The following is an 11,922-nucleotide window of genomic DNA, read 5'->3' as shown; positions in this document are numbered from 1 at the left end:
TATCTACCCCACCCAGCTCCCTTAGGAAGATGTGTCCTGCCCCCATCCTTATCCCTGCCAGCGGGCTCCTGGGTCCTCCTCAATTTCCCCCTACACTCTGCCCCCAAACCCCACCAGCCTGACAAACCCCTCCCCTCAGCTAACGCAGACTGACTTGCTCCACTCTTCCCCACCCACCAGCCCCAATTTCTGCCAACTTCTTCGTACCCGGTTTTCTGACCTTAAGATGGGGATTAAATTTTTAATCAGCAAATTACAATGTTCGCTGAGTTCATGTCTTCGGTAAATGTCACGGTGGAGTCCACACCCCTTCCAGTCCCTACCCCACATGAATGAGCCTATGTCCATGGGGAGAGGGAGAAGGTGGGGTGGGGCTTTCCGTGAGCTGGAGGCATTGTGTCCTTTGAGTGCCTTCCTCTGAGCAGCATAGGGCTGGGCATGGCCGGGGCTGAGCAGGGCGCGTGGAGCTCTGTGAGTTCCCCCATTTCTGTTTCCTGTCATTTCAGGCTGCAGCATTCCAGAGGCTGAGCCTGGTTGCCTGCTGGCTTTGGTTATAGTGGTTCCTACCTCCTCCTACCGGGACTTGCTTTCTCCTCTCTTCTCTTCTGCCTGGGTCAGAATGCTGTGATGGCTTTTTCTCCCTCTTTCTCTCTCTCTCTCTCTCTCTCTCTCACACACACACACACACCACCACCACCACCACCACCGCCACCACCAGGCAGGACTAGCATATAGAAGCTCAGAGCAGGGAGTGGAGTGGGAGAGCTGAGAAATAATGGAGATGGTCCTATGCTTTTAGGATCACCCCCTCCCGTACCATGTGAGTGACCTTAGGAAAGGAAGAAAGTAGGCCATTCTTCCTCCCAGGGTCCTCGTGGTTTGAGCAAGAGACAAATCCCCACTTCCCAACACATACCTGATGACCCAGAGGCCACACAGGAACATGTGCAATAGCTGTCAGGCCATGAATGTTGGAGCACAGCGTCACCCAGGAGAGCAGCCTGAGGGAGGGCAGGGTGGGGTAGGAGAGAGAGGTGGGACTTCTTTGGAGGAGCCACTTGGGAATCCAGTGGGCGAGGGGAGACAAGAGGAGGCTTAGACAGGATCAGCCCTGCTGCATCCGCATCTCCCCTAATGAAATATTTACCAGAGACTAATTTTTCCTCAAAGGAAACTCAATTCTCAGACCCTCCATCCATGTATTAATTTTAGAGTGATTTAGTTTTCCCTGCTTTGGGGACAGGAGGAAATACTGCAGAACAGCATCCCAAACGTGGTGTTTATTCTTTGGTAGGACAGCACTCTCCCTCCAGCTCACACCCCCAGCCCTACCCTCTCCATCACAGGAAATAAGATCAAATGCTTATTTCATGCTGAGTGCTCTAAACAGACTCATGTATTTCTGGTAAATCACTGTAAACATACTATAATTTACCAATAAGGCAACTGAGACACAGTGAGGTTAAATAACTTGCCTAAAGACACTCAGCAAATAAGTGGTGGAACCTGGTTCTCTCGGATGAAACTCGTCTCTACTTTCTCTACATAGAGAAGACATATAAAGCTCTCTCTGGGAATCCAGGGCATTGACAGTTCCAGGAGCCCTTGACAATGGCTAGGGAAGGCCAGGACTCAGATGTGAGGCACAGTGTGACAGATGCAAGAGTAGACAGGCACCTGGAACAAGTGGACACAGAACCATTAACAGCAGTGAGGCACCAACCATGGGGCATCAGCCTAGAAGAGCCACAGAAACTATTCCTTCTGTCCATTCACTTCTCAGACAAGGACTCCAAGTCCAGAGCAGAAATGAACTGGCCAAAAGTGCCCATCATAGGGACAAGCAACATGGCTCTCAAGAGAGGCTTCTGTGGTCTTCTCTGACCCTTGATCTCTTTACCACTGTTCCTCATGGCATTTCCTCTACCTTCATGGCATTTCCACTACCTAGGGAGTAGCTCTGCCAACATGAGACAGCTGTCCTTTCCACCCTCAGTCTCCACCCTGGGCCGCTCTGACTGCCCAGGGGGAGGAGGCCAGCTGGAATATAGATACCAGGCAGTCATGGATGTTTAGAGGGAGACAAGGTATTGCCAAGATGGACCTACTGAGAGACTTGGTAGGAGCTCAGCCCAGAAGACCCTGAAAACTGGAGATCAGACAGAGTCACATGCGAAGTGGGATACCTTGGGTTCCTTGGACCATAGAGACTCAAAGTCCAGGTCTGTGGTTTACACAGGGCTCAGGTCTGCAGCTATGCTCAAGGCCCTGATGGCGGCACACCAAGGTCTAGGTCCAGCCATTTAATAGCTATGTGGTTTGTGAACAAGTTCTGTATCTTCATCTGAAGAATAGGAATTTTTTGTTGTTGTTTGTTTTTGTTTTGAGATGGAGTCTTGCTCTGTATGCCCAGGCTAGAGTGCAATGGCACGATCTCGGCTCACTGCAATCTCCGCCTCCCAAGTTCAGGCGATTCTCCTGTCTCAGCCTCCCGAGTAGCTGGGATTACAGGCATGCACCACCACGCCCAGCTATTTTGTATTTTTAGTAGAGATGGGGTTTCTCCATGTTGATTAGACTGGTCTCGAACTCCTGATCTCAGGTGATCCACCCACCTCGGCCTCCCAAAGTGCTGGGATTACAGGCGTGAGCCACCGCGCCTGGCCCCAGAATAGGATTTTAACAACTCTTTCCTCAAAGAAATCATGTGCAGACACTCACACTTTGGCAAGTCACAAGTTTCGCCAATCTTTTCCAATCCTCCTCCTATGTCAGGCCCTTCTCCCTTTTCCCATTTCTCCTGGCCTTTCAACTAGGAGTTAGTCAGGTTGTGATCTTTTTTTTTCTTTTTTTGAGACAAAGTCTTGCTCTGTCATCCATGTTGGAGTGCAGTGGTGCGACCAAGGCTCACTGCAGCCTCAACTTCCTGGGATCAAGTAATCCTCCCACCTCAGTCTCCCAAGTAGCTGGCAGTACATGCACAAGCCACCACACCTAGTTAGTTTTTTAATTTTTTGTAGAGATGGAGTCTCACTATGTTGCCCAGGCTGGTCTCAAACTCCTGGGCTCAAGCAATCCTCCCATCTTGGCCTCCCAAAATGCTGGGATGACAGGAATGAGCCACCGTGCCCGGCCCAGGTTGCAATCTTTAATTTACTCAAGTACAAAGTACTTCTACCACCTTCTGCCCATCTTCCTTCCCATTTGTTGTGGAGAATGAAGGACACAAAGTACTATATAGAAATGCTTTGACAATGGCCAAATGTTTCTCAAATATTAAACACATATCCAGACCTGTGCAAAGCCTTTCTACAAGGAGTGTCAGGAAATCAATGAGTTTTCAAGTCTTTGCCTTCCCCACCAGAGGTGGATTAAAGACCAGAGAGGGCCTACCTGACCTGGGTTGCTAGTCTGCCCAGCACTTTCTCCAGGCTCTATAAGTCAACCATCCAAAATAAGTTACCCCCCAGTTTACCTAGCTTAGATGAACACATCACTGCAAACCTAGTTTAAACAATATATTTTCTTGTAAAGATGGGATCTCACTATACTGCCCAGAGTGGTCTTGAACTACAGGGCTCAAGCAACCCTACCTCCTCGGCCTCCCAAAGTGCTGAGATTACAGGTGTGAACCACTGTGCCTGGCCTAAACCTAGTTTTTAAATGGAGCACAGAGACTTTTTCTTCCTCCATAAAAGATTAACTGTTACAGCAATTGCTCTCTTGCCAAAAATAACTAGCAAAACAGACAAAATATATGAAATAGCTATTTTCAGACACTGGGTAACAGTCAGTACAGGACAGTTGCAAAAAGAACTTCACTCTATTTTTTGATGGTTGATTACTGATAACTTTCAAGTCCTATCTCTTCCCTTTCTCCTTTTTTGACCCACCTTGACAAGAAGGCCACATGCTTTCTCCCTTAGTGCCAGCAAGAAAAGTTCAAAAGCTGGCCTATGGGCAGGAACTCTCACCCTGGCCCCAATTGCATTAGAAACTCAAGTCACTCACCCCTCCCTTTGCTCAAGTTATTCCAGAGGGCTTGAGGGCCTGCTCTGCTCTCCCTAGAAAGTCCCATTATGTGGGCAATAAATGTTTTCATACCCTCTTGGTGCATGTGTGGCATCATTAGTCTTGATATCCAAACCAATTTTGGGTGGGGAATTGATCCACCCCAATGGGGCAACCACAAAACACCAGCTATGCCTGTAAGAAGGGAAACAAATGAGGTAAGACCTATGAGTCCACCAACGTATAGCCTGGAGAAAGTTCCCAGGGCACAATTCAGAAGGAGAAACCCAAACAGCTCAGCAATCTCACAAAACTGAGGACTCAGAGATCAGAGTTTGGAGATGCTGAGGCATCTAAAAACTGTGGGAAAAACACCAGAGAAAAGGACACTGCATAGAGACTGAGCTCCAGAAATCTACAGAAGATTCCAAGTCCTTGGCCAAATATCAATCTGTATATGTTTGGGGTAAAACCCCTTGAGGCTGAGACTGGGCAAGAACAACTTGCAGGGAAGGAGCAACTACCTGGGAGCTGGAAGATCAACACTATCCAGAGCTGACACAGGGCTGCGTATCATCTGACTTCTCTCTACACCTCTGGAGAGACCATAGAAAGGCCACACATTGTAAGAAGTACAACACAATGCAGCAAGTCAGAAAAGTCTAACAAAAGGCAGACACTCAATAACATAAAATTCACAATGTCCAGCATCCAATCAAAATTTACTAGGCATACCAAGAAGCAGGAACATGTGATTCATAGCTGGAAGATAAAATCAGTCCATACAAACAGACCAAAAAAATGACAGAAATGATGAGCTTAGCAGACATAAATGTTAAAATAGTTATTACAAACATGTTCTTTATGCCCAATTAGGCCAAGAATATGAAAATGAAAGAAATGGGCCAAGCACAGTGATTCACACCTGTAATTCTAGCACTTTGGGAGGCTGAGATAGGAGGATCACTTGAGCCCAGGAGTTTGAGACCAGCTTGGGCAACATAGTAAGACCTCATCTCTACCAAAAAATAAAAAATAAAAATAAAAAACCAGCCAGACATGGTGGTATGCACCTATAGTCCTAGCTACTCAGGAGGCTGAGGTAGGAAGATCACTTGAATCCAGTAGTTTGAAGCTACAGTGAGCTATGATTGTGCCATTACACCCCAGCCTGGGTGACAGAGGAATATCCTGTCTCTAAACAAACAAACAACAACAACAACAAAACAAACAAATGAAAACAAAAAAAAAAAAAGAAAGAAAATAAGAGAAATCAAAAATATAAAAAATATTAAAATAGTACTTCTAGAGATGAAAAATACAACAAGCTGAGTTGAAAAATACATTGGATGGGAATAAGAGCAGATAGGACCCTACAAATTTAAAAAAATCAGAAAAGAAAACATACTAGGCCAGGTGCAGTGGCTCACACCTGTCATCCCACACTTTGGGAGGCCAAGGTGGAAGGATCATGTGAACCCAGGAGTTTGAGACCAGCCTGGGCAACATAGGGAGACCAATGTGGTGGTGCACACCTGTGGTCCCAGCTACTCAGGATGCTGAGGTGGGACGATTGCTTAAGCCCAGGAAGTTGAAGTTACAGTGAGCCATGATCATGCCACTGTACTTCAATCTGGACAACAGAGCAAGACCCTGTCTCAAAAAAAAAAAAAAAAAAAGAACCATACTAAAATGAAGCAAAGAGAGAAAAAAGATTGAAAAAAAAATGATCTTGTTCCTCAGTGACTTAGTGGACAATGTCAAGTGGTCTTGTTTTACAAGTAATTAGACATGCACAACATGTACACAATGTACATATAATTGAAGTCCCAGAAGTAAAGGAAAGAAAGGAGGAAGAAGGAAAAAATAATGGTTGATAATGTTCCAAATTTGACTAAAAATGTAATCTTAATTATCCAAGTAGCTCGACAAACCCCAAGCAGGATAAAAAGCAAACAAAAAGGCCGGGCGTGGTGGCTCACGCCTGTAATCCCAGCACTTTGGGAGGCCAAGGTGGGCAGATTATCTGAGGTTGGAAGTTTGAGACCAGCCTGACCAACACGGAGAAACCCCATCTCTACTAAAAATACAAAATTAGTCGGGCATGGTGGCATGTGACTGTAATCCCAGCTACTCGGGAGACTGAGGTAGGAGAATCGCTTGAACCCAGGAGGTGGAGGTTGCAGTGAGCCAAGATCGCGCCATTGCACTTCAGCCTGGGCAACAAGAGTGAAACTCTGTCTCAAAAAGAAAAAAACCCACACAAACAAAAAATCCCCTACACCAAGACAAATAATAACCAAATATTGAAAACTAGTAATAAAGAAAAACTCTGAAAGGCAGTCAGAGATTAAAAAAAAGACACTACCTACGGAGAAACTAAGATAATAAAGAATGGGCCGGGCGCGGTGGCTCACGCCTGTAATCCCAGCACTTTGGGAGGACAAGGCGGGCGGATCACGAGGTCAGGAGATCGAGACCATCCTGGCTAACACAATGAAACCCCGCCTCTACTAAAAATACAAAAAAAAATTAGCTGGGCGTGGTGGCGGGCGCCTGCAGTCCCAGCTACTAAGGAGGCTGAGGCAGGAGAATGGCGTGAACCTGGGAGGCGGAGCTTGCAGTGAGCCGAGATCGCACCACTGCACTCCAGCCTGGGCGATAGTGCGAGACTCCGTCTCAAGAAGAAAAAAAAAAAAGAATGACCGTAGGTTTCTCATCAAAAACTAAGCAAGCCAGAAGGCAACACTACAATATCTTTTTTTTTTTTTTTTTTTTTTTAGACGGAGTCTCGCTCTGTCACCCAGGCTGGAGTGCAGTGGCGCGATCTCGGCTCACTGCAAGCTCCACCTCCCTGGTTCACGCCATTCTCTTGCCTCAGCCTCCCGAGTAGCTGGGACTACAGGCGCCCGCCACCAAGCCCGGCTAATTTTTTTGTATTTTTAGTAGAGACGGGGTTTCACCGTGTTAACCAGGATGGTCTCGATCTCCTGACCTTGTGATCCGCCCATCTCGGCCTCCCAAAGTGCTGGGATTACAGGAGTGAGCCACCACACCCAGCCAATAAAAGAACTTTGAAATACAAGAGACAAAACCTGATAGAATGAAAAGGAGAAACAGACAAATCTACAAGTGTGCTTGGAGATGTCAACGCTGCTTTCTCAGTATTTTTTTTTTTTCTTGAGGCAGTCTCACTCTGTCACCCAGGCTGGATTGCAGTGGCGCGATCTCAGCTTGCTGCAACCTCCGCCTCCCGGGTTCAAGCAATTCTCCTGCCTCAGCCTCCCAAGTAGCTGGAATTACAGGCGCCCGCCACCACGCCCAGCTAATTTTTGTATTTTTCTTTTTTTTTTTTTGAGACGGAGTCTTGCACTGTCGCCCAGGCTGGAGTGCAGTGGCACGATCTCTGCTCACTGCAAGCTCCGCCTCCTGGGTTCCCGCCATTCTCCTGCCTCAGCCTCCCGAGTAGCTGGGACTACAGGCGCCCGCCACCGCCCAGGCTAATTTTTTGTATTTTTAGTAGAGACGGGGTTTCACCATGTTGGCCAGGCTGGTTTTGAACTCCTGACCTCAGGTGATCCACCTGCCTGGGTCTCCCAAAGTGCTGGGATTACAGGCGTGAGCCACCGCGCCTGGCCCTACTTTCTCAGTAATTATAGAAGTAGACATAAAAGTAAACACTCAAGACATAAAATACTTGAGTAATCCTACCAACCAACTTGATCCGATTGAATTTATAGAACCCACCCAACAACAGTAGAATACATATGTTTTTCAAGTGAATAGAAAATATTTATCAAGATAGACCATACCCTGGGCCAAAAAAATAAGTCACAATGTATTTGAAAGGATTAAAACCATACAGAGTATGGCCAGGCATGGTGAAATATGGTGAACCCTGGCCAATATGGTGAAACCCCATCTCTACCAAAAAATACAAAAATTAGCTGTGTGTGGTGGCCTGTGCCTGTAGTCCCAGCTACTTGGGAGGCTGAGGTGGGAGAATCGTTTGAACCCAGGAGGTGGTGGTTGCAGTGAGCCGAGATCGAGCCACTGCACTCCAGCCTGGGTGACAGAGTAAGACCCTGTCTCAAAAAATAAAATAAAATAAAACCATATAGAGTATATCCTCTGACTATAATGTAATTAAACCCAATAACAGAAAGATATGTGGAAAATCCCCAAATATTTGGAAATGAAATACACTTCTTAATGACCTATGGGTAAAAGAAGAAATCACAAGGGCAATTAGAAAATATTTTGAATTGGATAAAAATAAAACACAATATAGCAAAATCTGTGAGAAGCAGTTAAGCATCCAAGGAAATTAAGAGTATCAAATGTTTATAGTGGAAAAGAATGAAGATCTCAAATCAGTGATCTATGTTTCCATCTCATGAGACTAGAAAAAGAAAAGCAAAGTAAACCCAAAGTAAGCAATGGGAAGCAAAAATAAAGATGAGCAAAATAATTAGAGAAGACCCCCTCACCAGCCTGGGCAACATAGCAAGACTCCAACTCTACAAAAAAATTAAAAAAATTAGCCAGGCATGGTGGCATGTGCCTGTGGTCCCAGCTACTCAGTAGGCTGAGGCAGGAAGATCAGTTGAGCCAGGAAGGTTGAGGCTGCAGTGAGCCGTGATCCTGCCATTGCACTCCAACCTAGGTGACAGAGTGAGATCCTATCTCAAAAAAAAAAAAAAAAAAAAAAAGAGAAGAAATAAGCCCTCGACAATAGGGAAATCAGTTACTCTAAAGCCAATTATTTGAGAAGATAATATTGAAAAACTTCTAGTCAGACTGAACAGAAAAAAAAGAAAGAAGACACACTTACCAATATCAGGAATGAAAGAGGAAGCATCACTACAGATGGTACAAGTTTATGGCAATAAATTCAATAACTTGGAAGGGAAAAATTATTTTGAAAGGAAGACTGATGTTCACTCAAGAAGAAATAACCTGAATATTCATTACAATTATTAAGGAATTAGAATTTCTGATTACAAACCTTTCCACAAAGAAAACTCCCAGCCAGATGGCTGCACTAGTGAATTCTATCAATCACTGAAGAAAGTAATAGTACAAACTCACATAAACTCTTCCAGAAAATAGGAGTAAATACTTTGCAACTCCTACTATGAAGTCGGCATTATCCTGTTTCCAAAACAAAGACAAAGATATTATAAGAAAAAAAAAACTGTAACCAATATCCCTCATAAACAGAGATGAAAAAAGTCCTTAACAAAATATAAGCAAATCAAATTTAGCAATATAATAAGAAAATAATAAGGAAAATGCATCATGCTCAAATGGGGTTTATCCCAAGAATTATGCAAAATTTGTTTAACATTCAACAATTGACATTGTTTATTTATTATATTATTCAACCAGAAAAAGAAAACAATATGATCATGTCAATAAATACAGAAAAGCATTTGACAAAATTCAACACACATTTTTAATAAAATGTCTCAGCAAACTAGGAATAGAAGGGAATTTCTTCAATGTAATAAAGAATGCTTATGAAAAACCTTCACTTAATAACATAGTTAATGGTGAAGACTGAATGTTTTCCCCTAAAATTAGAAACAAGAGCAACATTGTCTTTTCTTGCCACTTCTATTCAATGTTGGAATAACGGCCAGGTACAATGGCTCATGCCTGTAATTCCAGCATTTTGGGAGGCTGAAGTGGGAGGATCACTTGAGTCCAGGAGTTCAAGACCAGTCTGGGCAATATGGCGAGGCCCTGTCTCTACAAAAACAAACAAACAAACAAACCCAATATTGTACTAGAGGTCCCAATCATTGAAATAAGGGAAGAAAAGTAACTAAAAGGCTTCCAAATTGGAAAGGAAGAAGTAAAATGATCATTATTCAGAGACAACATGATTATCTATGTAGAAAATCCAAAAGAAACTTTTAAGAAGCTACTGGTACCAAGAAGGATGTTTAGAAACATCACAGGATAAAAGGCCAATATACACATATCAATTGTATGTTTATAAACTGTACTAGCAACAAGCAACTATAAACAGAAATTTAAAACACAGTACCATTCATTGTATCATCAAAAACATGAAATACTTACGGATAAGTTTTGCAAAATATTTGCAAGACCTAAACTTGAGCACTTAAAACTATAAAATATTGTTTAGAAATTTTTAAGAAAACATACATAAATGCAGATATTTTCCATGTTCATAGATCAGAAGACTGAATTTTTAAAGGAAATTTTTGTGGTTTTATTGTATCATAAGGCATTGAAACATCTGAACAAATCAATGTCTGGGCGGTGAGGCAGCTGCTTTCTCCTTCACTTCTTTGGGTTACTAAAGCAACCTGTCAGTAGATTTAAAAAAACAAACAAACAAAAAAACCAAAAACTAAGGACAACCTTTTGCATTACTTAAGCCTTTCCAAGGCACGCGCTGGTACAACACAAACTTCTCCTGTCATATGTAACTAGTCTAGCGTCCAAACATCATGCACAACACCTCGGTGGCAGCAGCGCACTGCGCCCACTCCCGCCGCGGCCCTGCTTATTTGTGCATGATATTTGGAGCATCTGGAGGAGTAGGAATAGTATTGGGAAGAGAAGGGAGGAGGAAACAGCATTAGTGCCTGGCTGAGAGGAGGTCAGCCGAAATTGTGCAGGGCAAACCTGAACATGTCATTGGCGCAAAAGCCATCGTTGATGTTCTTTAATAGGAACATCTGGTGGAACCCCTTGATGGGGTCTTCATCCGCCTTAAGCTGGCCCACAACCACGCCGATAATGCAGCTATCTGGCGTGGGCTGATGGTCCTGCGCCGTGAGGCTGTTCTGGATTTTCTGGAAGGGAAGGCTAGACAACTTCTCCACAGCGGCAGCTTTCCCCTGGAACTGTCGTACTTCCCACGTAAGGCATGAAGCATCAATGTAAATTGCGCCTAGTTGCGTTCTATCGTTATCAAATAACTGGTAGTAATGTTGATTGAAGCTGGATCCAATCGGCTCCCAAACTGGCTTGTCTCCCATTCTTGAGCGTCACCTGGCCTCGCGGAGACCTGAGGGGCTGGCACGACGGTGGCAGCGATGGCAGCAACCCAGAGTGGTTCTGAATATTAAGATACCAGTTTTCAAGCCGGGTGTGGTGGCTCACACCTGTAATCCCAGCACTTTGGGACGCCGAAGGGGGTGGATCACCTGAGGTCAGGAGTTCAACACCAGCCTGACCAACATGATGAAACCCCGTCTCTACTAAAAATACAAAAAACCAGCCAGGCTTGGTGGCTGGCGCCTGTAATCCCAGCTACTTGGGAGGCTGAGGCAGGAGAATCGCTTGAACCCAGGAGATGGAAGTTGCAGTAAGCCAAGATAACACCATTGCACTCCAGCCTGGGCGACAAGAGCAAAAACTCCATGTCAAAAAAAAAAAAAAAAAAAGAGATCAGTTTTCCCAGAATTAAAACTATAGCTTCAATGCAAACCCAATCAAAACCCAGCAAGATTTTTGTAGAAATTTACAAGCTAATTCTAAAACTGATATAAAAATATAAAGAACCTAGAAGAGTCAAAGCAGTTTTTAAAGAAAACAATATTAGAAAGCTTTAAGACTTACTACAGTAATCAAGACAGTGTAGTGTTGCTGTAAGGACAGACACATAGATCTGTGGAACAGAATTGAGATTCTAGAAATATAGTTTCTTAGGTTAGGAATTCAGAGGCAGCTTAGACTCGTGGTTCTAGTTCAGACCTTCTCCTGAGTTTGCACATCAAGATGTTGGCTGAGGCTAGTCACCTGAATGCTTGACTGGGACTGGAGGATCTACTCTTAAAAATGGCTCACTTACTTGTCTGGCAGGTAGATGCTGGTGTTGGCATGAGGCTTCAGTTCTTCACCACATAAGACTCTTCATAGAGTGGCTTG

General features: G+C 44.2%; 1 protein-coding gene across 1 annotated transcript; it reads right to left on the bottom strand.

The window, feature by feature from the left end:
* NUTF2P4 (nuclear transport factor 2 pseudogene 4) lies at positions 10,636-11,030 on the bottom strand. The gene has a single exon (XM_047437990.1). It carries the CDS (start codon positions 11,028-11,030, stop codon positions 10,650-10,652), a length of 381 nt encoding a protein of 126 aa, XP_047293946.1. The 3' UTR covers positions 10,636-10,649.
* Positions 11,031-11,922: the final 892 nt, after the last annotated feature.

The sequence above is a fragment of the Homo sapiens genome, chromosome 1 (genome assembly GCF_000001405.40).
Source record: "Homo sapiens chromosome 1, GRCh38.p14 Primary Assembly".
NCBI classification, from domain to species: domain Eukaryota; kingdom Metazoa; phylum Chordata; class Mammalia; order Primates; family Hominidae; genus Homo; species Homo sapiens.
Note: the sequence above shows the minus strand (reverse complement) of the source record. Positions and strands in the feature narration are given on the sequence as shown.